This window comes from Homo sapiens, chromosome 22 (assembly GCF_000001405.40).
Source record: "Homo sapiens chromosome 22, GRCh38.p14 Primary Assembly".
NCBI lineage: Eukaryota > Metazoa > Chordata > Mammalia > Primates > Hominidae > Homo > Homo sapiens.
In genome coordinates, this window is record NC_000022.11 from 25,390,330 (window position 1) to 25,416,536 (window position 26,207).

At 52.9% G+C, this 26,207-nt stretch overlaps 1 pseudogene across 7 annotated transcripts in view, besides 10 other annotated features; it reads right to left on the bottom strand.

Annotated features, from left to right (window-relative positions):
• LRP5L (LDL receptor related protein 5 like (pseudogene)) overlaps window positions 1–15,079 on the bottom strand; it is a 53,991-nt pseudogene extending 38,912 nt beyond the window's left edge. For all 7 annotated transcript variants that reach the window (XR_005228030.2, XR_007068026.1, XR_007068032.1 and 4 more), the window contains exon 1: window positions 14,873–15,079. The product of XR_005228030.2 is annotated as an LDL receptor related protein 5 like (pseudogene), transcript variant X8 (transcript). The remainder of the gene's footprint in view (window positions 1–14,872) is intronic.
• Window positions 1,823–2,722: an enhancer, noted in NCBI's record as "H3K27ac-H3K4me1 hESC enhancer chr22:25788119-25789018 (GRCh37/hg19 assembly coordinates)". NCBI's record gives its function as "activates a minimal SCP1, AML or CMV promoter by ChIP-STARR-seq in primed H9 embryonic stem cells {active_cell/tissue: H9 hESC(primed)}" and the evidence as "EXISTENCE:reporter gene assay evidence [ECO:0000049][PMID:30033119]".
• Window positions 2,723–3,621: an enhancer, noted in NCBI's record as "H3K27ac-H3K4me1 hESC enhancer chr22:25789019-25789917 (GRCh37/hg19 assembly coordinates)". NCBI's record gives its function as "activates a minimal SCP1, AML or CMV promoter by ChIP-STARR-seq in naive H9 embryonic stem cells {active_cell/tissue: H9 hESC(naive)}" and the evidence as "EXISTENCE:reporter gene assay evidence [ECO:0000049][PMID:30033119]".
• Window positions 8,093–8,592: an enhancer, noted in NCBI's record as "H3K4me1 hESC enhancer chr22:25794389-25794888 (GRCh37/hg19 assembly coordinates)". NCBI's record gives its function as "activates a minimal SCP1, AML or CMV promoter by ChIP-STARR-seq in primed H9 embryonic stem cells {active_cell/tissue: H9 hESC(primed)}" and the evidence as "EXISTENCE:reporter gene assay evidence [ECO:0000049][PMID:30033119]".
• Window positions 10,318–10,377: an enhancer, noted in NCBI's record as "active region_18782". NCBI's record gives its function as "activates an Ori minimal core promoter by ATAC-STARR-seq in GM12878 lymphoblastoid cells {active_cell/tissue: GM12878}" and the evidence as "EXISTENCE:reporter gene assay evidence [ECO:0000049][PMID:35858748]".
• Window positions 10,538–10,637: an enhancer, noted in NCBI's record as "active region_18783". NCBI's record gives its function as "activates an Ori minimal core promoter by ATAC-STARR-seq in GM12878 lymphoblastoid cells {active_cell/tissue: GM12878}" and the evidence as "EXISTENCE:reporter gene assay evidence [ECO:0000049][PMID:35858748]".
• Window positions 10,748–10,927: an enhancer, noted in NCBI's record as "active region_18784". NCBI's record gives its function as "activates an Ori minimal core promoter by ATAC-STARR-seq in GM12878 lymphoblastoid cells {active_cell/tissue: GM12878}" and the evidence as "EXISTENCE:reporter gene assay evidence [ECO:0000049][PMID:35858748]".
• Window positions 12,178–12,377: an enhancer, noted in NCBI's record as "active region_18785". NCBI's record gives its function as "activates an Ori minimal core promoter by ATAC-STARR-seq in GM12878 lymphoblastoid cells {active_cell/tissue: GM12878}" and the evidence as "EXISTENCE:reporter gene assay evidence [ECO:0000049][PMID:35858748]".
• Window positions 13,753–14,047: a silencer, noted in NCBI's record as "tiled region #13977; HepG2 Repressive DNase unmatched - State 1:Tss". NCBI's record gives its function as "represses a minimal TATA promoter and a strong SV40 promoter by Sharpr-MPRA in HepG2 cells {active_cell/tissue: HepG2}" and the evidence as "EXISTENCE:reporter gene assay evidence [ECO:0000049][PMID:27701403]".
• Window positions 14,599–14,768: a silencer, noted in NCBI's record as "silent region_13558". NCBI's record gives its function as "represses an Ori minimal core promoter by ATAC-STARR-seq in GM12878 lymphoblastoid cells {active_cell/tissue: GM12878}" and the evidence as "EXISTENCE:reporter gene assay evidence [ECO:0000049][PMID:35858748]".
• Window positions 14,809–15,238: a silencer, noted in NCBI's record as "silent region_13559". NCBI's record gives its function as "represses an Ori minimal core promoter by ATAC-STARR-seq in GM12878 lymphoblastoid cells {active_cell/tissue: GM12878}" and the evidence as "EXISTENCE:reporter gene assay evidence [ECO:0000049][PMID:35858748]".

The window sequence follows — 26,207 nt, forward strand, 5'->3', positions numbered from 1 at the left end:
CCCCTTCTCGGGGGCAAGAACCGTCCTGGGGAGGACTTGGCTTTGGAGGGGGAGCCTGGGAGGCCAGCAAGTCAAAAAGCCTCTCCTGCTCATGGGTGGGATCCCACCCTAGGCCCTCACCTGCTAGGGCGGGCAGGGATGGGCAGCACAGCTTGGCCAGGGCAGATAACCCCCACCTTGGCCAGGGGTGAGAGTAGGACACGTGGGCTCCAGCCTGGCCCCACTATCCCTGCACAACACTGGGCAAAGTCCACGTTCTCCTCAACTGGATGTTGACATCTGCAGGACAGGGGCATGGATGTACAGAGCACTGAAGCCACACAGCAACCTAGGAGCGAGACTCCATGCATCCCCGGGGACCCCTCCCCACCATGAGGACCACGCAGGCTTCCTGTGTGCCACAAGGGCTCCAGTGTGGAGACACACGTCTCCTACACAGCCAGACCTAACACTCTTGTAGCCGGGTGGTCCCACCTGGGCTCACAGCTGGAGAGCAAGGGGCTCAAGGCTTCACGGGGTCTGCTCTCATCCCAGAGACGATGGGGAGCCACACAGCAGGCTGTAGGAGAGAGGGTGGCGCCCCCCTCCACTTCAGAGGCCCCTTCTGGCACACAGACTGGAGAGCACATCTCGCAGTAACCACGGAGTGCCAACTGGGCACAGGGCCTGGTTAGCAGAGCAGGGCAGAGGCACTGACCATCCACAACCAGGGTGAGGGAAGCTGAGCGGGCAGAGACCTCGGGCAGAGGGGGAAGACCCTGGTGGCCATGCTGGCCCTGCCTTCAGCAGTGAAGCTGACTGGGGAGGCGCTGATGCAAGGGGTCCAGAAAGGGCTGTTGGTCAGCCAGGGGGAGCCCCCCACAGATGAAGCAGCCAGCCAAGACGCAGAAGGCAAGGTCCCCTCAACAATGTCCTCTGAAAAGGAGAGGCGGGGACTGCTCTGGCAACACCTACAAATAGATGGTCAGCCCCCAGCCATACCTCTAACAAAGCAGAGGTCCCCAGGGGAGGGGCACCCGCAGGTTCCTGCACCTGTTCCCCCAGACTCCCAGAGCCCACCCGACCCCATCCCACCAGGGCTCCAGCTACAAAATAAATGCCGGGGCCAGCTAGGCAAGGTCGCACACTCGGTACCGACTGAACAGGCTCCACACTGTCATGAGTGCAACCCACAGGCCACGCTATGCAGAGCTGAGATTGTTTCACCCAAGCAGCCTTTCAGTGGAGCCAAACAAGTCCAGAGTCCCCGGGGTGTCTTCACCATGGAGTAACAATTGCAATGCGATGGTAACCCTAACAGCTAACCGTCACTGAGCCAGGCCCTGAGCTAGGCACTTTTCAACACCACCTCTCTGCAGCCTCAGGACGATCCTGTGGGAGCATAAAGATCATTCCCTATTACAGATGGGGAAACTGAGCCCTGGAGCAGTTAACATGCTTGTCCGAGACCACAGAGCTAGGAGTGAGACAGAAAAGCAGGTTGGGCAGGAACGGGTGATGGGGGCCTGCATGTGTTCCTCTGGAGGCTGGGTGGACACGCAGCCCCCAGGACCCCAACCCTGCAGCTCACCACTGCCCCCTCAGCTATTCCAGAAAACCTCGGGGTAGGGGAAGGAGGCTGGGGACACCTTAGGTGTCCGAAACAGTAGCTTCTGCTTGGAGGCCAGCGCTGCATAGTGGCTGCTACCCAGAAGCACACCCCAAGCCACCTGTGCCACCTGGGGTGACCTTCCAGCATGCCTTGATGACCAAGCTGGCCTTAGATACTGTGGGCAGCCAAGAACGGAACAGGGCACACCCATCCTCTTCACACCTACACAAAGCAAGAGGGGGGAACTTCAACTGAGTGCGTCCCTCTTGCTCAAGGACCTCATGGATCACGGGGTCACGGCGTGATCCCAATTCTGGACTCTCATCTGCCTTTCATACTGCTCTGCCCACACAAGCCAGTAACCCTGGGGGCATCCCTGAACCTGTTTCCCACCTAAAACACATCATCCCCTTGGACCCCAGTCCTCCAGGAGAGGCTCTAATCCTTGACTGTGGTGAGATCAGATCACTGGTTAAGTACCCGGAGGAGCCTCGGTCAGGGAGCTCCAGGGGTTGGGGATGACGGGTGTGGTGGTGTCCCGCCCTGGGCTACAGTCCACCCTGATGCAGGAGGTCTGTGGTCAGAACCGGGCTGTGCAGGGCACAGGAGTCCAGAGGGAGAAATGCTCACCTGGGGGGTCTCTGAGCAGGGCTCTCTGGACCCTCAGAGAAAAGCAAAGCAAGGAGGCCACCTGGAGCCCAACACCTAGCACCCAGAGGCATGCCAGACCTGCCTGGATCCTGGAGGAGATCTCTCATCACACTCCAAGTCAGTCATGCCCAACCCAGGGACCCACAGCCCAAGGGGGCTGTGGAGATGTACTGGGTCCAAGAAGGGCCTTCGACACTGAGAAGCCAAGTGGCACCCCCCGGTGCGGAACAGGTGGAATCCCACCAGCCTCTGCTCTGCCAGCGAGCACGGCTGGACGATGAGCAGAAGGGGCTGTTGCTTAGTAAACGTCATTTCCTTAAGAGGAGAAAACTTTTCAAAATAGATGGAAATTTTTTTTTTAATTAAAACTGGTAGCCAAAGGGATGGAAAGCGCCCCTTGTCCTTCCCTCCTATCGTGAGCCATCCTCTGCACACCTCAAGCTGTTCGCTGCCCAGGTGTCTCCTGAGGTGCAGGGGGCAGGTGAGAATCCATGAGCCCTCGGCTAGCCATGGCTCTCTGGAGCTCTGCCCCAGGCCTTCGGGGGACAGGCCGGGCAGCCTGGGGGCCACGCAAGGCAGAGCCCAGCTGGGTCAGCACACAGGGCCACACCGGGCACACAGTCTCCAAGCCTCCCCTGTGGACATAGTTCTCACTGTCCCAGCCCACTAGGTCCCGGGGGTCTGTCCCACAGGGTGATATGCTGTCACAGACCACTACGAGAGCCATGGCCTGCTGTTCCACTCGCAGCCAGGTAGTCACCTGCTCCACAGGGACAGGCAACGCCGCACTGGGGACTACTCTGTGGCAGGACTAGAGCTCCAGCAGCTCAGCCCTCCTGAGAGGGAGAACTCTGTGCCCTAAAGGAAGCAGACGCAGCAGACGGCACCAAAGCCACCACAAGCCTGTGGTGCCCTGCATGGCAGGTCAGGAGTCCCTGACCACTGCTCTTTGTAACCAGAGCTGCAGTGGAGCCTACAAGGCAAGGACTGTGGGTGGCAGTGGCCACAGCAGCTGAATGAGTGTCCCAAGGGAGCAGGCGGCTGCGGGGAGGCACAGCCCAGGCCCAGGAGTCCTCCGGCACTGCAGCAAACTCCCTGGGCCGCCTGAGCAGCAAGCTGGTGGCAAGGGCACGAACTCCCAGGGGCACAACCTGGGAGAGTGAAACTCTCTTCATGTTCAAATTCTTGAGAACATATTAAAAACATCACTCAGTCACCTACTCTATAGTTTTAACGCAAAAGTACCAAATTAGCTATGCGCAGTGGCTCACGCCTGTAATCCCAGCACTTTGGGGGGCTGAGGCAGGAGGATTGAGCCCAGGAGTTCCAAATGAGCCTGGGCAACATGGTGGGACCCCATCTCTACAAAAGAAGTTTTTTTAAAAAAATTACCTGGGCATGGTGGTGTGTGCCTGTAGCCCCAACTACTCAGAAGGCTGAGGCAGGAGAACCACATGAACCTGGGGGAGATCGAGGCTGCAGTAGGCTGTGATGGCACCAATGCACTCCAGCCTGGGCAACAGAGTGAGACTCTGTCTCAAAATAAATGTAAAAAACACCAGGCCAGGTGTGGTGGCTCACGCCTGTAATCCCAGCACTTTGGGAGGCCGAGGTGGGTGGATCACCTGAGGTCAGGAGATCGAGACCATCCTGGCTAACACAGTGAAACCCCGTCTCTACTAAAAATACAAAAAAATTAGCCGGGCGTGGTGGCGGGCGCCTGTAGTCCCAGCTACTTGGGAGGCTGAGGCAGGAGAATGGCATGAACCCGGGAGGCGGAGCTTTCAGTGAGCAGAGATCGCACCACTGCACTCTAGCCTGGGCAACAGAGTGAGACTCCGTCTCAAAAAATAAATAAATCAAAAGCACCAAAACTTTTTAATATAAACACTTATTATTCCATAATTCCCTTTGCATGATTAAAAATGTTTATATAAAGGTTTTTGAAAATGGTAAGAATGCTAAGTGAAGGATGCAAATGCCCAAGCCCCCACCCAGTGACAGCTCATACAGTCTGGGCCATGGGAGGTTGGTAGGTACCACATGGACCCGGGACTTCACGGTCAAGTCCCTTTGGGGTACACTGGGTTTCCCACACCCCAGAAATATGGGCTCTTACTGCAGGACCATGGGGGTCCTCACACTTGGCCCAGAAGCTTTCTGTCACATAGCCAGACAGGCGTTCTACAACCTGGGCTAGATTTGGGGATGGCAGAGTCAGCTCATGCTCCAGCAGAATTCAAGCCAGAGGAGGTAAGCATGGGTAAAATCTGCTCTCTGGACAGATGAGCCCTTGGGTGGCCTCAGAACAGTTACTGATCATCTACCAGACATCACACTGGAGGCAGAAGGGCACAGACGAAGACAGCCCCTGTCCTCAAGCCCACCCAGGCTGGGTGGACCATGGAAGGTTCCAGATGGGTCTGGCAAGAGAAGTGCCCACACCAGGGGCAGAAGATGGGCAGGCCTGCTCAGGGCAGCACAGCATGCCAGGCCAAAAAGTTCCAACTTCAGATGCTGGAGAATGGGCACGACCATCTGAGAAAAGGAAGGACATGATGAAAACTACTTGGAGAAAAATTAATCTTGCCAGAGCATAAGATAAATGGGCAAAGGGGAGGTTCTAGAAAGCAAGGAGACCCAGTAAAAGCTGATATCATCAGCTCTGAATTTGATGACAGAATCTGAATCTGCAGGGCCTGTGGGTAAAGCCTCGGAGCCCTGGGGGTCTGAGTGGAGGGGAGGGTGGGGGGCAGGCTTTCGGCTGGGCGGGGGCAGAGCTGGGGCCTGTGTCTACAGTGCTGAGAAGGAACAGGCATGGATGTCAGCTCGGAAGCTCCAGCTGAAGTGAGGAGGAGGCCAGGGCAGCACAGCCACACCCGGATCCAGGCTCCTTTTGGGAACCAAGTTCTCTCTGGGGAAAAGTGTGGAGAAGTGGCCTTTACCCACAGAAGCAAGCCCCAGAACATGTCTTGCTCCAAAACTACCTCGTACAGTGAGGACATTAAGCTTCAGGTCCCCTAGAGGAGACAGCCTGCTCCTTCCTGGGGCAGAACCCAAGGTGGACAGAGCCTGGAGGGCACCCAGCACCCGGGCTGGCATGTTCCGGCCAGGGCCACGCGCTCGGATAGCTATTAATGCCCCGTTGAACAATTTCCTGAGAGCTTTGCCAGGCAGGTACCGCCTCTCCATCTGGGTTAATAGAGGGGTACATCCCAGGCAAGAAATGAAAGGTGCCCACATTTTGCTCTGGGATGAACTAGGGGAGGGGAGTGATAATTAACTCAGTAATTACATTTGCCCTCGGGCTAATGCTAAAATTAGCGTGCATTAGAGTTTCTTTCCTGAGCAGACACAGGAGGGAGCTGGGCAGCAGGAGTGGCTTGGGCAAGGTGGCACAAAGGGCACCTCCAGAGCCCTCCACAAATGTCAGCAAAACCCACAAATGTCAAGGCCGGCTCCACCGCACCCAGCAGATGAATTCACTTCCACAGCCTGAGACTGCCAGCTCATCAGGGGCTACTTAAAATCCAGCCCTCTGACACCTGTTGGATATCACCACTTACCATCCCCAGTTCAAGAGATCAAAGGGTGGAACCTGATAGGATGGCTCTGAAGTTCACCACAAAAGCGTAAACATGCAAGAAGAGCCAACACATCTTTTGAAAAGGACAGTGAGGTGGGAATTTGCACAACTGATCTCAAAATATGGTCTGATGCTTCAGAGATGGAGACAGCAGCACTCCAGTATAGGCAGTGGAGCACAGGGAAGGGTCTGGAATCAGGACCCAGGTGTCTGTGGACACTACACATAAAAGAGCAGCATTTTCAATGAATGGACAGGTTGGATCATCCCACCAAGGTGTTGGACAACTCCCTATTCACTGGCCAGACCCCTACCTCATACCATATACAAAAAAAAATCAGAATAATGTCTGAATGTAAAACACAAAACAGTAACACTCCTGGAAGAAAATAATGGAGAATATACTTATAATCTGGAGGTGGAGGAACAAGGGATAGGAAAAAAGCCATAAAAGATAGAGTTGTGATTACATGAAACTTCTTAATGCCTTTAAGATAATGTACCACCAGAAACAAGGATGAAGGACTAGCCAAAGACCAGCAGTGAAACGTGAAACAAACAGAACAAAGAATTAAAGTCCACACCAAATAAAGACCTCCCACAAATCAATGAGAAAAAGACAAACAGTCCAGGCACCGTGGCTTACGTCTGTAATCCCAGCACTTTGGGAGGTGGACAGGTCACTTGAGGTCAGGAGTTCGAGACCAGCCTGGCCAACAGGGTGAAACCTTGTCTCCACTAAAAATATAAAAATTAGCTGGGGGTGGTGGCGCATGCCTGTAGTCCCAGCTACTTGGGAGGCTTAGCCAGGAGAATGGCTTGAATCCGGGAGGCAAGGGTTGCAGTGAACCAAGATGGCGATCGCACCATTGCACTCCAGCCTGGGAGACAAGCAAGACTCCGTCTCAAAAAAAGAAAGAAAAACAATAGAAAGATGGATAAGTGTAGGCAATTTGCAGAAAAGTAAATACCAATAAACCGGAAATGAGGGTTGTGCAAATCAAAAGGTGTTATAATTTTTAACCAAATTGGGACCAAAGAAAACACAAAAAACCAAAATCTGGTAATTGCCAGCATCAGAGAGGATATAGGAATGTGTATGTTCTCATAGATGCTTGCAGGTATGAATTGGTACAGCCTTTTAGGAGGTATGTATGTATGTATTTGAGACAGGGTCTCGCTCTGCTGCCCAGGCTAGATCTGTTGCAGTGCCATGATCATGGCTTAATGTAGCCTTGACCTCCTGGGCTCAAGAGATTTTCCCACCTCAGTCTTTCAGGTAGCTGAGACTACAGGAGTGTGCAATCATACCCAGCTAATTTTTAATTTTTTTGTAGAGATGGGGGTCTCCCAATGTTGCCCAGGCTGGTCTCGAACTCCTGGACTCAAGTAATCCTCCTGCCTCAACCTCCCAAAGTGCTGGGATTACTGGGGTGAGCCACTGTGCCCGGCATCAATATATTTAAAAACCTAAATGGACACACTCTTTGACTAGGAATGTTTCCTATAAAAACACTTATACACATGCAGAGACACACGAGCAAGCATGCCTTGTAACAGTAATGAAGCCTGGGAAAACTCAATCAAGTAAATGCTGTAAAGTGCACCTGTGTACTATGAAATAGCACTTGGCTTTTAATAAGAGCAAAGATATGAAAGTAAAAGTACAAAGTAGGGTGTGGTGGCACATGCCTGCAGTCCCAGCTACTCAGGAGGCTGAGGTGGGAAGATCGTTCAAGCCCAGGAGTTGGAGGCCAGCCTGGGCAATAGTGAGAAAAAATAAAATTAAATAATAATAATAAAATAGGCTGGGCACAGTGGCTCATGCCTGTAATCCCAACACTTTGGAAGGCTGACGTGGGAGGATAGCTGGATGCCAGGAGTTCAAGACCAGACTGGGCAGCAAAGCAAGACACCCATCTCGACAACAAATTTTTAAAAATTAGCCAGGCAGGCTGGACACGGTGACTCACGCCTGTAATCCCAGCACTTTAGGAGGCCGAGGCAGGCAGATCACTCGAGGTCAGGAGTTCGAGATCAGCCTGGCCAACGTGGCAAAACCCCGTCTCTACTAAAAATACAAAAATTATTTGGGCATGGTGGCGGACACCTGTAGTCCCAGCTGCTGAGGCATGAGAATCTCTTGAACCAGGGAGGCGGAGGTTGCAGTGAGCCGAGACTGTGCCACTGCACTCCAGCTTGGGCGACAGAGGGCACAGAAGCAGCACCTCTTCTGGGGGTACCCTCAATCCCTAGCGGTCCAGAGGCCTCAGGATCCTGAAGGAACTAAAATGTGAAGCCCTGTGCTAGAAGAGTCCATAGAGATTGGAATCAGCTGGTTTCATTTTACAAAAAGGGAAACTGAGGCACTCAGAAGGTGAGTGCCCCCCAATGCCCCACAAGGAGACTGGGAGCGGGGCTCTGAGCCCTGCGGGGCCCTGGATTCTTGCAATGCAGTGGAGTGGAGCCTGTGCCGCCCCCACCAGGCACCTTCTCAGGAGAGGAACCATTATCATACGCTTGAAGGGGCCCTCGAGGCCTCAGAAAGGCTAAAAACCACTTTCCTCTTTGAGTGAACCTTCACTTCAGTTTAACCACAAGAAAAATTACATTAAGGCTGGGGGCAGTGACTCATACCTGTAATCCCAGCACTTGGGGAGGCTGAGGTGGGTGGATCACTTGAGCCCAGGAGTTCAAGACCAGCCTGGGCAACATAGTGAAACCCTGTCTCTACAAAAAATAAATAAAATTAGCTGGCCGTGGTGGTACACACCTGTGGTCTCAACTACTTGCGGGCTGAGGTGAGAGGATTGCTTCAGCCCAGGAGGTAGACGCTGCAGTGAGCAGTGATTGTATCACTGCACTCCAGACTGGGCAACAGAGCAAGACTCAAAAAAAAAAAAAAATTAAATCTTGGCTGGGCGCGATGGCTCCTGCCTGTAATCCCAGCACTTTGGGAGGCCGAGGCGGGCGGATCACGAAGTCAGGAGATTGAGACCATCTTGGCTAACATGGTGAAACCCCGTCTCTACTTAAAAAAATACAAAAAATTAGCCGGGCGTGGTGGCAGGTGCCTGTAGTCCCAGCTACTCGGGAGGCTGAGGCAGGAGAATGGCATGAACCCGGGAAGCGGAGCTTGCAGTGAGCCGAGATCGCACCACTGCACTGCAGTCTGGGGGACAGAGTGAGACTCCGTCTCAAAAAAAAAAAATTTAAATCTCCAAAAAATATTACAATAAGGCAAACTAAAAACAGATGTTTTAAATATACATATTAAATTAAATACACTTCAATAGAGCAAATAAGAAAATACCCAGAAAGCGACCAGGCACGGTGGCTCACGCCTGTAATCCCAGCACTTTGGGAGGCCGAGGCAGGCAGATGACAAGGTCAGGAGATGGAGACCATCCTGGCTAACAAGGTGAAACCTCGTCTCTACTAAAAAAACAAATACAAAAAATTAGCCAAGCTTGGTGGCGGGTGCCTGTAGTCCCAGCTACTCAGGAGGCTGAGGCAGAGGAACGGTGTGAACTCAGGAGGTGGAGCTTGCAGTGAGCTGAGATCGCACCACTGCACTCTAGCCTGGGCAACAGAGCCAGACTCCGTCTCAAAAAAAAAAAAAGAAAATACCCAGAAAGCACAATCTCCCCACCCGCAAGACAACCTCCCAGGGGGTCCACGGCAGGAGATCCCAAGCACGAGGGACAGAGAACAGTGACCCTGTGAAGGATCCTCCAGCCCATCAGGCTCAATCAGAATATGAGGCTCCTGCCACTGTGAGAGCAAGAGGCACAGTTGCGCAGCAGCCACAGGCTCTGGCACACCATGAGCCAGGCCAGCAAAGCGTCAACTGCCCCCTACAAGGCGACAGGCAAACCATGACAAACTGGAAACCAGAGACTGGACCTGGAGCACAGGGACCACTACAAGGGCCTTGGAAATGGGCAGGGACCATGGATGGCCACCCGCATGTGTAAGAGCGGCCCGTCTGCACATGTCTCTGCATGGCTTAGGGGCACAAGTCCCCCCCAACTCCCAACCCAGGAAGGCAGCCCCCATTTAACCAGGTGGGGCAAGAAGGGATAGGGCCAGCATCCGGCTCTGCTTTTTTTTTTTTTTTTTTTGGAGACGGAGTCTCACTCTGTCCCCGAGTCTGGAGTGCAGTGGCCCAATCTCGGCTCACTGCAAGCTCCGCCTCCCGGGTTCACACCATTCTCCTGCCTCAACCTCCCGAGTAGTTGGGACTACAGGTGCCTGCCTCCACGCCCGGCTAGTTTTTTGTATTTTTAGTAGAGATGGGGTTTCACCGTGTTAGCCAGGAAGGTCTCGATCTCCTGACCTTGTGATCTGCCTGCCTCGGCCTCCCAAAGTGCTGGGATTACAGGCGTGAACCACCGTGCCCGGCTGGGCTCTGCTCTTAACGCAGGGCTCTAGGCCCCCTCGGGGGCAACCAGCACAGAGCTCAGACCACAAATACCTTCACCCACCTCCTGGTCCCCATCTGGACAAGGGTGCTGGGGACTGGCTCTCAGTCACACCCTCAGGGTACTCTTCAAAGGACAGCTGGGGCCCCAGGGCATGAGCTTTTGGCCCCCAGCTCCCTTACCCCAGACAACAGCTCTTGGGACCCCACCAGCACCGGCAAGGTGGACACCATCGTCCCAATTTTGCAGATGAGGAAACTCAGGCTGAGGGCCGGCACACAGCTCTCCAGAGCTGAAGAGAATGCAGAGAGCAGCTGGAGCCAGCCAGTGGGTCCCTGGCGCCAGCTCGTAGCAAGCCACAGCCGCCTCCGCCCTTCATGCTTGGGTTGCGCTGCCCCAGGACAGCCTTCCAGGGTGGCCTGGCATGGAGCCCAGACCCTGCTGCTTCCTGAACAAATAAGTGAACGAGGCCACCAAGCCAAGGGGCTGGATGCAGCCCCAGCTCCTGCCAGGGCCTCCCCAACAGACTCCCTGTTTGGAGAGCGCATTGTCTCCAAGGCCTCAAACCACAAATGTCCGGCTGTCTCACAGCTTCTGTAACCTGAACTTGGCCCTCACCCTGCCCTCCCAGGGCTCCTCTCAGGGCCCAGGCCCCTCCTCTCAGAGGCCAACACTGACTACCCAGCTCATTCTCATCACCTGGCTCATTCCTGAACCTCACTCAGCAGGAGAGTCTCAGGCCAGATCCTCCCACCAGCCACCTCCACCAGGACGCATGAGCCCTGTTCATGCTGGCTGGGAGACACAACCAACCAATATCAATCCAATCAGTGGATGAACTGACAAATATAATGTGGTCCCTCCACACAATGGAATATTATTCAGCCACAAAAAGGGTTGAAATAGGACGGGCATGGTGGCTCACGCCTGTAATCCCAGCACTTTGGGAGGCCGAGGCTGCCAGCTCACTTGACGTCAGGAGTTCAAGACCAGCCTTGCCAACATGGTGAAACCCCGTCTCTACTAAAAATACAAAAATTTGCTGGGTGTGGTGGCGAGCACCCATTAGTAATCCAAGCTATTTGGGAGGCAGAGGCAGGAGAATCACTTAAATCCAGGAGGCAGAAGTTGCAGTGAGCCGAGATTGTGCCACTGCACTCCAGCCTGGGCAACAGAGCAAGACTCCATCTCAAAAAAAAAAAAAAAAAAAAGGCTGAAACACCCATACCTGGGACTACTTGGATGACCCCTGAAAACATTACAGTAACCAAGGAAGTCAGCCACAAAAAACAACGATGTATTGTATGATTCCCTTCATACAAAATGCACAGAACAGGCAGAGCCATAGAGGCAGAAAGCAGACTGGTGCTCATCAGGGGGTCGGGGGAGAGGGAACGAGAAGTCACTGTGCAATGGGTATGGGTTTTACTTTGGGGTGATGGAAATCTCTTCTAACTTCATAGAAGTGATGGTTGTAAGCACTGTGGATGTACTAAATGCCTGCCTTGTATACTTTAATTTTATATCATGTAAGTTTCACCTCAATTAAAAAAAAAAGATCAACTTGACACTTTTCACCTAGGAAAGGTCTGGCTTCAGCTTTCATTTCCTATCAGTCCTGCCTAAAGCCTTCCAGTAGCTTCCACTGCCTTCTGGATCACAGTGAGACTCCACAGCATGATCTGGCCTCTAAGGACCTCTCACAGGACGCCCCGAGGGTGAAGGAGCACCCCTGGGCCCATCTCTGCATAGCTGCACAGCTTGTTTCCCTTCCTCCCCTCTACACGGGAAGCCCTGCCTACAGCGGAGGGGCCTTATTTGCCATTCTATCACATTCAACCCCAGCACTTCACACAGTAGCAGACACCAAAGCGAAACAGCAACAGCATTACACTGGGCCAGGTGCACGTTCACTCACTGAATTCATGGTAGGAAGGATTCTTATCCCCATTTTACAGCTGAGAAAACTGAGGCACACAAAGGTAGCGTCAGCTTCTCAAGCTTCCCAGCACAGCAAGCGGCCAGGCTGGGATCAGACTCTGGACACAGGGGCTCTGTCCACAGTGCTAACTACTCCTGCCCCCCAGGGCTGCAGCAGTGAGTGAGTGAGGTGGTCAGTGGACTGGATGTCCAAGGTCACACAGACTATTGTAATAACAGCCTCTAGACCGGCCAGGGCCAGAAAGATCAAGGACTCCTACATACAACTGCCACTGCAGCACTGCCGCTGCCAGTCCCCAGCCTGGGCCAGGGATGGGGCTAAAGGTCTCACACAGGGCACTAAGGGCTTCCCAAGGCCTGGGAGAGGAGCGAGGCAAGATGACAGAAACTAGGTATGGTGCCCAAAGTCAAACAGCTACTGAGCATGTAAATCCAGGTGGGTCTGACCCCAAAACCCCCTATCAGCCCTGCAACCCGTTGCTGCAAGGGAGAAAGCAACTCGGAGGCCTCACCTGCCTGCACCTTCACCCCCCATCTCTGTGTGTGAGTTCTACTAAATGCCTGAGCAGTGACACAGTGCCGCTGAAATTAAACGGATTCCAAAAACGACAGGAAGCACGAGGTGGATCTCCCCAGAAAAGTGCTGAACAAATGTTGGCTCGGGTTCACCCGGGAATTTCTTGGAACTGAACAAGGGAAGTTCAACGCCAAGGGGCCCTGCTTTAGAGGGGACTCTCTCAGGGTGCCCCACACAGCCCTTAGTTAACCCCACTCAGCCCTGCTGGCCTTGGCCTTGGGCATCTACAGGAGGAAACTCCAGGGTGAAAGGGGGTGCCTAGACAGGCGGGTCCTGGAATAAGCACTTGGGCCCCGAGGAGAGAGGCCTAGGGCTTGGAAGCTGGGGAGGTTCTCAGCACTGGGACCACTAGAACAAAGCCATTTCCGTGGGTTCACAGCTTCCAATTGCAACAGGAAGCAATCAGGAAAAATAATTAGCTGCCCACTTACTGGCTTCGCTGAAGTCCGAGGCATGTATCTCACACAGAAAATCAGGGACATAACATCAAAACCGTTCCTCCTTTTCCTTTTATTTTAGGACTGGATCACCACATTTGCTGGGGCTCCCAGGCCTTGCTGCCTAATGTTAAAATAATCAACTCTATTTTTGCCTCACATACAACTGAACTCCACAGCTGTAGTTCTTTCTCCTTAGGGGCTCCAACCACATGAACGACAGACATTTGATTCCAGCAACATCACCTAAAACGTGCACAAAACCCAAACTGCAATGAGGTGAAAGGCAAACGTGGTCAGCCTAGAAACTCCCCCTTTAAAACAAACAGCTTCCTCAAAACCCCTTTTGCCTCCTTGACCCACGCATTTCCGGAAAAAGGAACGGTGCTGGCCTGTACTCCCCAGATACTGTCGCTGTTTTGTCTTCACCTTGTTTTGCTAGCTCCCGACAAGGCCCCAAAATGTAAACACGCTCCTGAGAGAGGCAAATTTGGGGTGAAACTGTCCACAGAATCTCTAGGTTTGGGTCAGAGGTAGGAGGACTTGAAACAAAGGCCAAGCTCCTCCTGTTCCCCGCTGCCCCCTACACCTCCAGAAGAGAGGCTGCAGCCCAGGGGAACAGACTACACGGCCACCCCCCTGCACCATCCACACTGGAAATATTCAAGGAGACAGCTGTTTGCCTTAAGGAGGCACAGACAAAGGGGCCCAAGATCCTCCCAGCTAAACTGCCACAAACAGAACAGGAGCCCAGGCGTGCACAGGCACTTGCGGGCCGTGCCACTTGGCTGGCCATACTCCAGAAAAGCAAAACACGCACATCCGAAGAGAATGATTTAGGCAGCAAGAGGCTTGCTTCAAAAACCACATGGCCATCTCCAAATTAAAAGAACATGTGTAGCGTTTCACAAACTGCTTAAGTGTCCTGAGTCCTCCTGACCTCAACTCCACCCCTTGGGAAACACCAAAAGTTGGAGACAAAGTTGCCCGGCCTTACTCTCTCCCCACTGGAGAGTACAACTGAGGCACGAACCTGCCTCCCCTACTGTCCCGCGCTCTGGGACCATGTCACCACCCCCCCCGCCCCCCTCCGGGCAGCCGACCCGGGGAGGGACACCATCTGGGACCCCGGCGGCCACAAGGGGCATTCGGGTCGCCCCGGCACCTGGCATGTGTCAGTCCGCTTGGAAACCCACAGCCACGGCTCACAGGGGCAGCGCCACCGGCCAGGCAGCCCCGCACCCGGGCTCAGAACTTTCTCGCTGCAACCTCAGCCGGTCCTCGGAGCACGCGGGCCGGCCGCGCGGCCGCTGGAAACAGAGTCGCGAACCGGCTTCCCGGGCCAGGCCCGCCTCCGGGCCCCAAGTCCCAACTTGGTGCCCGGCCCGGGCCACACGGGCCCAGCGCGGGCTCGGCTCCTGGCTTCCTACGGGCGCGGGCAGGTGAGGACCGGCCGGCGCCGCCCGCGCGCCCTCCTCACCGGCCCGGGACGCGGCGTCCCCGGGGATGGCCCGGGCAGGGACGGCGGGGGGATCCCCGGTGCGCGCCCCAACTCGCCCCCAACTCGCTTCCAAGGCGGCGGTGGCGCCCGTGCACTTGGTCGCGGGGCCGCCCGGGCCATTGTACTAGCAGCCCGCGGTCCCGGGTCGGCCCGCGCCCACCTACCTGCGGCGGGGGCCGGGCAGCCGCACAGCGCCAGCAGCAGCGGCCACGGCGGCCCGGGCAGTGCAGCCTCCATGTTGTCCAGCGGCCGGACGGGCTGGCGCCGCGCTCACTCGGGCTCCACAGCGCGGCGGCGGCGGCTGCGGCGGCTCCTCGCGCGTGTCCCTGCATCTTCGTCTTCCCCGTTGGGCGCCGCGGACCAGGACGACTGGGAGGAGGGAGCAGGGCGCGCGTGAGCGGAAGCAGCGCCGCGTCTCCGCCCCCCGCTGACGCAGCCGCCCGCGCCCCAGGGAGCCGGCCGGCGGCCGGGCGGGCCCCACGGCCCCAGCGGCCCGGGTCCCCGCGGCCCCTCCCCGCGCTCCTCGCCCTGCCCTGGGGGCGCCGCCGGGAGGCTCGGCGCGGGGCTGGGGCGCGGGGTTTCCGCCCCGCGGGGCCCGGGGGCAGATCTGGGCCAGGAGCCCGGTGTGTTACCTGTGGAGCCTCTATGAGTGGGGAAACTGAGGCACGGGGCGGGGCTGCCCAAGGGCACACAGCGAGGCAGTTTCAGGGCAGGAAGCCTGGGGTCCCATGGTGCGGCCCTGACACTTGTTCTCACCTGTGGAGGGCAGAGGAGGGGACAGGGAGAGAACTGCATGAAGCTGGCCAGCTGGGAGTGGAGGTGGGTTTGAATTTTTACTTTAAACTAAATGTGTACTCTCTACCTTAATTATGAATTATGAGACACGAAGACTGCGAAACAGACACGCTCCTCTAAAAGTGCCTCTAGGCTGACAGGGGAAAAGTCCCGCCAGGCTTCCAGACGCCACCTTTGAGTCCTTCAACAAGCAGGCCAAGGCCTCTTGCCCACCGGTGTCAGCTCAGCCACTGAACCCTCGAGGAAGAAGAGGTGCTCGAAGGGGAAGAATCTCACCCAGGCACAGCCTGGAAGGGGCACAGAAGGGGCTCTGGAACCAGCAAGCCCAAGTTCAAACTCCCGATCTGCTACTTTCTAGAACGACTGTGCCCTTGGCGGGTCTAAATAGAACCTCTCCGGGCACTCCTTCCTCCCTTGTAAAGTGGGAACAGCAATGGCCACCTTGCAGGTTCAGAGAGGGCTTGCAATACCTCACAGAACTGGGTGCCCGCGAACGTGTGCGTTCCTCCAGATTTGTGACAAATTTGCCAGGCTGGCGTGAGGCTGAACGCCTCTGCCCTCATGGGGTTTAAATTCTAGGAAGGGAGACCGACAAAAACAAGAAGACAAAATTAAAACAACAAAAGGCCCATTGACAGAACATGAAGAATGTCATGAAAAATGAAGGGTGTTGGGCTGCAGTGTTGGGAAACTCTGGCTTAGGGAAGGAAGGACACTTGAGCTGCCACCAAGGAGCAGCTGTCCGGCAGAAGGGCAGTTCAGGAAGAGCACACATCAATAGAGGAGGCCCTGCGGCAGGGGCCAGCGTGGTCAATGGACTGGGAGGAGGAACCACATCAGGCCACGAGCTGGAGCTGAGGGGTGGAAGGTGGAGCTGGGGGAAGGAAGAGGCCAGCTGGGGCCAGCACATGTCAGACCTCAGGCAGGGAAGAGGAATTGATAATGTACCCCACCAGCAATGGGAAGACAGGCTAGGATTTAAGCAGCAAAAATCCTTTCCCTTCTTGCACCCTGTGTCCACCTCTACCTCGACCCCCTTCCGCCTGACCTCATGGCAGCCAGGGAAGCTCCAGGGTTTGTGAGGGCCGCCATCTCAGGAGAGAAACAAGGGTCTCGGGCACCTTCAGGGCCGGCTCCAGCCACACTTATTCCCTGACCTCTCAGCCTCCTTAGCCACTCTCCCTTCCCACATCTCACCCTGCTACAGCCACAGTGGCATCCCTGTGGGTTCTCAAACACACTAGGCACACTCCTGCCTCAGGGCCTTTGCACTTGCTGTTCTCTGCTACAAGTTTTTTTTTTTTTTTTTTTTTTTTGAGACAGGGTCTCGCTCTGTCACCCAGGCTGGAGTGTAGTGGTGTGATCATAGCTCACTGCAACCTCGAACTCCTGAGCTCATGCAATCCTCCCACCTCAGCCTCTCCAGTAGTTAGTTTTCGTTGTTTTGTTTTGTTTGAGATGGAATCTCACTCTGTTGCCCAGGCTGGAGAGGCTGGAGTGCAATGCCACAATCTTGGCTCACTGCAACCTCTGCCTCCCAGGTCCAAGCGATTCTCCTGACTCAGCCTCCCAAGTAGCTGGGATTACAGGCATGCGCCACCGCGCCTGGCTCATTTTTGTAATTTTAGTAGAGACAGGGTTTCACCATGTTGGTCTGGCTGGTCTTCAACTCGTGACCTCAGGTGATCCACCCGCCTTGGCCTCCCAAAGTACTGGGATGACAGGCATGAGCCGCTGTGCCCGGCTCTAGTACTTAGGACTACAGACAGGGACCATCATGCCTGGTGATCCTCCCACCTTTTCTGCTTCAACTCTTTCACCCCACTTAGCCACATGGCTTTACTCTCTTACCTCTTCGGCTCCTCAGTCAGGCCTGACCACCCCTGTTGAAAATTGCAAATCATACCCCCCCACCGCCCACTCTTGCCAGCAGTTTCTGCTCCATTTCTCTGATTTACTTTTCTCCTTTGCACTCATCACTACCTGACATGTTTACATATCTTTATTCCCTCCACTAGCAAGGAAGCCCCAGGAGAGCAGAGAGTGTAGTTTTGTTCCCTGATGTGTTTCCTGTGCCTGTACCAGGGCCTAGCACACAGCAGGTGCTCAGTAAATGTTGGATGAACGAATACAGTGAAAGGATCCAATCTACATTTATAAAGAGGGCACTCTGGCTGCTGAGTGGGGATGAGACTGTCAGGAGGAGAGAGGCCCCTGTGGGGGCCTGGCCAGCAGGTGGGTACAATGGTAGCAGCTTGGACTCAAGTGGGTGGGGCCTGCTTAGGGCTCTGGCTGCAGGAATCAAGGGAAGGGGGCACAGGATGGCCTACAACTGGTCCAAAGTCAAGTCAGGTTTCTAAATTTGGGAAGCGATACAGAAAATCTGAAGACTCTACTGGCCAGTTATTTAAATGGTTACATAGAAAATGTACCAAGAATATTAAAAAAAAAAAAAGGCTAGGCACGGTGGCTCATGCCTGTAATCCCGGCACTTTGGGAGGCCGAGGCGGGTGGATCACAAGGTCAGAAGATCAAGACAATCCTGGCCAACACGGTAAAACCCCATCTCTACTAAAAATACAAAAAATTAGCCGGGCGTGGCGGCAGGCGCCTGTAGTCCCAGCTACTTGGGAGTCTGAGGCAGTAGAATGGCATGAACCCGGGAGACAGAGCTTGCAGTGAACTGAGATCCCGCCACTGCACTTCAGCCTGGGCAACAGAGCGAGACTCCGTCTCAAAAAAAAAAAAAAAAAAAGCATCATGAAGAGGTCATCAGAGACTTCCAGAGAGTAAAGGGGCTGTGGGCCGGGCACAGTGGCTCATGCCTGTATTCCCAGCACTTTGGGAGGCCGAGGAGGGTGGATCATGAGGTCGGGAGTTCAAGACCAGCCTGGGAAACACAGTGAAACCCCATCTCTACTAAAAATACAAAAAATTAGCTGGGCGTGGTGGCGGGCACCTGTAATCACAGCTACTTGGGAGGTTGAGGCAGGAAAATTGCTAGAACCTGGAAGGCAGAGGTTGCAGTGAGCCGAGATTGCACCACTAGACTCCACCCTGGGAGAGAGAGCAAGACTCCATCTCAAAAAGGAAACAAAAAAGAAAGGGGCTGTGGCCTGCGGCCCAAAGCACACTACTGCAAGGTCCCAGGGTGCCTGACTCCAACCAGAGCCTTGAGAAAATTCATTTGCAAAGAATGAATTAAAACTCATCAGTATTTTATTCTGCAGGATTCTGACACCCCAAGGACATCATTTTTAGACCCTTCAGTAAGGTGATAAGTAACCAGAGGATGTGCTAAGCTTCCACTTCCCCAGACGGTTGCCTGTCACAGCTCATCAGGACACCAAATTTTTCTTAGGCTTCAAATTTGGAAAGGTTCACTCTCAGTTTGTTCCTCAGATGCAAGTCCGTCCCAATCAAGTAACAAGGGCTCAGCACCTGTCCAATCTCATTGCTTCTGGGGACAGGGACCCATCACAGGATGCTGTTTCAAGCTCTGTGACACTTGGGCAAAGTGCCTTTGGTTTCCTTCCCAGACTGGAATGTGCTGGCTCTGTGAAGTTACACCGGGCACAAGAGCCCCTCCCAACCTGGCCAGACTGACTGCTGTGGTCAGAGGTGCCCCTGGGGCTTTTGGAGCCACAGCATCTTCCTGAGGGCAGCACCAGAGGAGGTCCCAGTGGGACTGCCCATTGCAAGGCCCATGCCTCAGGCCCCTGCAGACCTCTCCCCCAAAACAGGCAATACCTCCTGGCAACTTGCCCCAGGAGCAGGCGAGGGAAGGCCACCATTGGCCCATGGTACTGGGCTCTGGAGGGCTTGGTTGGTAACAGGTCATGGTTTCTATGAGCCAGCTAGGGTGTGAAGGACACAGGCTGGATTCACCTCTCTGGGCCTCAGTTTCTGCATTCAAAAAATGGGAATCATGATATCTGTTCTATTTCTTATCTCTCAGTACTGATGTGAACCTCCAATAAGAGTTTGAACAATACTTTTTATACCTTACTTTTATTTTTCATTTACTTTGGGACAATGTCTAGCTGTCTCACCTAGTCTGGAGTGCAGTGGTGTGATCATGGCTCACTACAGCCTTAACCTCCTGGGCTCAAGTGATCCTCCTACCACAGCCTCCCAAGTAGCTGGAACTACAGTCATGCACCGCCATACCTGGCTAATTTTTTCTTTTGAGACAAGGTTTCACTCTTTCACCCAGGCTGGAGTGCAGTGGTGTACTCTTGGCTCACTGCAGCCTCAACCTCCCCGAACTTAGGTGATCCTCACACTTCAGTCTCCCAAGTAGCTGGTACTACAGGCGTGTGCCAGTACAGCCGGCTAATATTTTTGTATTTTTGTAGAGATGGGGTTTCACTATGTTGCCCAGGCTGGTCTTGAACTCTTAGGTTTAAGCAATCTACCTTCCTCAGCCTCCCAAAGTGCTAAGATTATAGGTGGGATCCTCCACCCCACCTGGCCTGTAATCCTACCACTTAAAAAAGGCCTGTAACCCTAGCAGTTAAAAAAAATTTTTTTTTAGCTTTTTGTAGAGATGAGGGGAGGGTCTCACTATGTTGCCCAGGCTGGTCTTGAACTCCTAGGATTAAGCCATCCTCCTGGCCTGGCCTCCCACAGTGTTGGCATTATAAGCATGAGCCATTATACCTTACTTTTTTTTTTTTTTTTGAGACGGAGTTTTGTTCTTGTTGCCCAGGCTGGAGTGCAATGGCACGATCTTGGCTCACCGCAGCCTCTGCCTCCCGGGTTCAAGTGATTCTCCTGCCTCAGCCTCCCAAGTAGCTGGGATTACAGGCATGTGCCACCATGCCTGGCTAATTTTGTATTTTTAGTAGAAATGGGGTTTCTCCATATACCTTACTTTTAAAGCGCTGCATTCATGTAAATTGTGATTAACATGGATTCAAGAGAGGGAGTGAGGACAAATGAGCTAGGCACTCACCTCAGCTGTCATCCTCCACTTCTCTCCTCCTTCTGACAGTCATTGTCCATCCCTGTTTCTGTAGCCATTTCTTTGACCCTCCTGATCATTTGGCTGGTCACAGTAACTTGCCTCCTGGGAGAGAATGCCCTGGGCAGGCCCTCATGAGTGGTGAAAAATAATCTGCAGTGAAAAATAAAACTGCTAAGAAGTCCGGTCCACTGAACAGTCTTATTTTTTCACTGCAGTTGAAGGAGTTGACATTCAGTTTTCATTTTCATTTTTAAGTGCTTTAAAGACACCTACAGTGGATTGAACCGTGGCCTTCAAAAAGATATATCCACATCCTAATCCCTGGGACCTGTGAATGTTAACCGAGTTGGGAAAAGGGTCTTCCCAGATGTCATTAAGTTAAAGATCTTGAGATGGATTATCCAGGTGGACTCTGCGTCCAAGGACAAATGGTCCTTAGAAAAGAAAAGCAAAGGCTGGGTGCTGTGGCTCAAGCCTGTAATCCCCGCACTTTGGGAGGCCGAGGTGGGTGGATCACCTGAGGTCATGAGTTTGAGACGAGCCTGGACAACATGGTGAAACCCCATCTCTACTAAAAATACAAAAATTAGCTGGGCTTGGTGGCATGCACCTGTAATCCCAGCTACTCAGGAAGCTGAGGCAGGAGAATCGCTTGAACCCAGGAGGCGAAAGTTGCAGTGAGCCGAGATCATGCCACTGCACTCCAGCCTGGGCAACAAAAGTGAAACTCCATCTCATAAAAGAAAAAATAAAAGAAAGGAAAAGAAAAGCGTACAGAGATTTGAGACAGAAGAGGAGAGTGAAGAAGAGAAGGCCATGTGAAGATGAAGCAGAGGTCGGAGCCATGCAGCCAGAAGCCAAGGAACACCTGGAGCCCCCAGAAGTTGGAAGACGTAGGAAGGAGCCTCCCCTAGAGCCTCCAGAGGGAGCACAGCCCTGGCAACACCTCCATCTCGGACTTCTAGCCTCCGGCACTGTGAGATCATCAATTCCCATTGGTTTTTTTTTGGTTGTTGTTGTTTGTTTTTTTGAGACGGAGTCTCGCTCTGTTGCCTAGGCTGGAGTGCAGTGGCACGATCTAGGCTCACTGCAAGCTCTGCCTCCTGGGTTCACGCCATTCTCCTGCCTCAGCCTCCCGAGTAGCTGGGACTACAGGTACCCGCCACCACGCCCAGCTAATTTTTTGTGTATTTTTAGTAGAGACGTGGTTTCACCTTGTTAGCCAGGATGGTCTTGATCTCCTGACCTTGTGATCCGCCCGCCTCAGCCTCCCAAAGTGCTGGGATTACAGGCATGAGCCACCTCGCCTGGCCAATTCCCATTGTTTTAAGCCACCAGATTTGTGGTAATTTGTTATGGCAGTCACAGGAAATGAATACAGCACCTAATCTTCACAAACCCCTATTACAGAAAAGGAAACTGAGGTCAGAAAGGTATGGGCTTGCCCAGTGTGTTAGGCCATTCTTGTATTACTACAAAGAAATACCTGAGGCCGGGCATGGAGGCTGACACCTATAATCCTAAGCACTTTGGGAGACCAAGGGTCACTTGAGGTCAGGAGTTCAAGACCAGCCTGGACAACATGGTGAAACCACATCTCTAATAAAAATACGAAAATTAGCCAGGCATGGTGGCATGCACCTATAGTCCCAGCTACTCAGGAGGCTGAGGCAGGAGAATCACTTGAGCCCAGGAGGAGGAGGTTGTAGTGAGCCGAGATTGTGCCACTGCACTTCAGCCTGGGCAACAGGAGAGAAACCCTGTCTCTAAATAAGTAAATAAATAAATAAATACCTGAGACTGGGTAATTTATAAAGAAAGGGGTTAACTGGCTCACAGTTCTGCAAGCTGTACAAACATGGTGCCGGCATCTGCTTGGTTTCTGGGAAGGCTTCAGGGAGCTTTTACACATCGTGGAAGGCAAAGCCAGAGCAGGTGCATCACACAGCAAAAGCAGGAGCAAGAGAGAGAGAGAGAGAGAGAGCAGGGAGGTGCACACACTTTTAAATGAGCAGATCTCATAAGAACTCATTATTGCAAGGACAGCACCAAGCCACGAGGGATCTGCCCCCATGACCCAAACCTCCCACCAGGCCCCACCCCCAACATTGGGAATTATAGTTCAACATGAGGTTTTGGGGGACAAATATCCAAACTTTATCATTCCACCGCGGCCCCCCAGATCTCATGCTCTTTGCACATTGCAAAATATAGTCATGCCTTCCCAAGAGACCCCCAAAGTCTTAACTCATTCCAGCATTAACTCAAAAGTCCCAATCCCAAGTCCAAGTCCAACGTCTCATCTGAAGATGAGTTCCTTTCACCTATAAGCCTGTAAAAATGAAAACAAGTTATTTACTCCTGAGATACAATGGGGGCATAGGCATTAGGTAAACATTCCTGTTCCAAAAGGGAGAAATCAGTCAAAAGAAAGGGGTTATAGGTCCCAAGCAAGTCCAAAACCCAGCCGGGTAATCATTCAATCTTAAGGCTCCAAAATAATCTCCTTTAACTCCATGTCCCAAAATCAGGGCACACTGGTGCAAGGGGTGGGCTCCCAAGGCTTTGGGCAGCTGTGTTCCTGTGGCTTTGCAGAATTCAGTCCACACAGCTGCTCTTACAGATTGGAGATGAGGGCCTGCCTCTTTTCTAGGTGCAGGGTGCAAGCTGCTGGTGATCTACCATTCTGGGGTCTGCATGGTGGGAGCCCCCTTCCTGCAGCTCCACTAGGCATTGCCCCAGTGGGGACTCTGTGTGGGGCATTCAACCCCACATTTTCCCTCCAATGTGAGGGCTCTGCCCCTGCAGCAGCCTTCTTCCTGGGCTCCCAGGCTTTCTCATACAATCTAAGTGGAGGCTGCCAAGCCTTCTAAGCCTTCTACAGTCTTGCATTCTGCATACCTACAGGCTTAACACCACATGGAAGCTGCCAAGGCTTATGGCTTCAACCCTCTGAAATAGCAGCCTGAGCTGTGTCTAGGGTCCTCTAAGCAAAGGGTGGAGCTGGAACAGCCTAGATGCAGGCAGGGAGCAGTGTCCTGAGGCTGTGCAGGGCAGTAGGGCCCTGGGCCTTGACAATGAAACCATTCTTTCCTCCTAGGCCTCTGAGCCTGTGATGGGAGGGTTGTTGAAGATCTCTGAAATGGCTCTGAGGCCTATTTCCTATTGTGTCGATTATTAGCACTGCATCAATTATTAGCACTTGGTTCCCTTTTAGTTATGCAAATCTCTCTAACAAGTGGTTACTCCCCAGCCTGCTTGAGCTCCTCTCCTGAAAAAGCTTTTTCTTTCTTTCTCACATGGCCAGCCTGCAAATTTCCCAAATTTTTATGCTCTGCTTTACCTTTAAATATAACTTCTAACTTTAATTCATTTATTTCTTCCTGCAATGGAGCATAAGGAGTTAGAAGCAGCCAGGCCACATCTTGAATGCTTTGCTGCTTAGAAATTTCTGGCCGGGTGTGGTGGGCTCACACCTGTAATCCCAGCACTATGGGAGGCCAAGGTGGGTGGATCACGCGGTGAGGAGATCAAGACCATCCTGGCCAACATGGTGAAACCCTGTCTCTACTAAAAATGCAAAAAAATTAGCTGGGTGTGGTGGCGCATGCCTGTAGTCCCAGCTACTCGGGAGGCTGAGGCAGGAGAATTGCTTGAACCCAGGAGGCAGAGATTGCAGTGAGCCGAGATTGTGCCACTGCACTCCAGCCTGGGCGACAGAGCAAGACTCACTCTCAAAGAAAGAAATTTCTTTGGCTGGGCGCGTTGGCTCACATCTGTAATCCCAGAACTTTGGGAGGCCAAGGCGGGCGGATCATGTCAGGAGATCGAGACCATCCTGGCTAACACGGTGAAACCCTGTCTCTACTAAAAATACAAAAAATTAGCTGGGCATGGTGGCGGGCGCCTCCTCTTTACCCTGAATACAAGAGACCCTAATAGGTAGGCAGGAGTATCATTGCCCCTATTCAGCATGAAGAAGTTACAGAAGACGGACCTTCATCCTTCTGCAACCCCTAGGATTAAGGGTCCTCTTGTAAAAGGGAAAGGGGAGATACGTAGGAAGCATTCAAACCAGGCGACTCCATTTTGAATACGGGCTAAGAAAAATGAAGCTGGATCACCAACTGGCAATTAAGGGCTGCACAGCCTACATTTGCCTTGCTCAATTAATTTTAAAAAGAGGCCACCTCATGCTAATAATGATAGCTGTGGTGGTTTTTACAAAAAAGAGAAGGGGGGTATGTTGGGAGAAAAGCTGAGTGTTGGGAGAGAAGCTGAGGCAGGGCTTGCATGTCTGTTAGACATGCTGGCTCCTTGCTTCTAGCACTCCCATTATTTCAAGCAGCCATATGTTTCTCATTCACTCGATACACTGTTTCCTTTCAACCCCCACATCCTCACCACCTGTTTGTTTGTTTGAACACCAATAAATAGAGTGGATTCCCAGAGCTCAAGGCCTTCGCAGCCTCCACCCTCGTGACGCCCTCTGGTCCCACTCTGTCTCTCAAACTGTCTTTTTCTCATTCCTTTGTCTCCTCTGGACTTCGTTGCCCCCCACGACCTGGTGTTGGTTCTGATCACCCCAATAGGCACAGAAGACAGAAGAACAGATTTCCTGTTCCGGAATGATTTCCAGACCACCCCACCTCCAGGCTTGGCACCCACTGCATGGACTGCCTAGCTTTGGCCCAACTTGTTGCCCTCTCTCTTACTCCCTCTTTCAAGTTCCTCTCTAAGTCCCCTTTCTTAGGCAAAGGGAGTGAGCGCTCTCCATTCCTGTGCCTAAAGCTTCCAGACTCAACTTTGCACAGCCCAAGCACATCAGAGCTCTTGGCTGCAGGAGAGGCCTTCCAGGCCATAAGCAGCACGAAGGACCAGTGGGGACCTGGCAGTTAGCACTCCTCCTTTCATAGGAGGCATCCCTTGAGTGGCACTTGTGGTTTTAAGTAGTAATTTTCCCCCTCCCTTTAGGTTATTTTCCAATAGAAGGCTGAGGCAATCTATGATCTTTATGTCATTCTTTCATTTACTCATTTATCCATCCAATACATATATTGAGCAAAGTCAGTGTGCTAAGTGCAGATGCTGGGGGAACAAATACAGACAGGCTTGTTTCCAGAAGCAAGCTAATGGATTGCTCACCTCACCTGCGGGCTATGGTGACAGTGGAAATGATTTATGCCCTGGGAATTGCCCTATGCACCGAAACCTAAACTCATAAGATGTTATTGAGGGGAGCGAGTACTCTTTACCTTGCAAAAGGATTCACTGCAGGATTAAATAAAGCTGGAGAATTTTAGAATTTGAAAAGACGTCAGGGGACCTGCTCCTTCAATCCCTTCATTAGTTATTGGTGAAAAGTGAGATTTAAAAAGCTTAAGAGACTTGCTTAGAGTTATTCAGCAATGCCAGAGCCAGCGGGTCAGAGCCAGCACTGTTCTGTTCATTCTCAGTGCTGGTCTCTTTCCATCAGGCCCTGTATGATGTAGAGATGCTCCAGCGATGCTGCTGCTGCTGCTAACCAGGTCAATATTTATCGAGTGCTTTCTGTGTGCCAGACACAGTTCTAAGCGCTTTTTACATGTTACAGCATTGCTCTCACGGCAATCCCGTTAACAACACTGAGGCAGAGCTGAGACACAGAGAGATTAGACAACTTGTCTAAGGTCACACAGCTCAGAAGGACTGGTCTTGGGCTTCTTATCCATTTGTCTTTTGAGCCCACGCTCTGA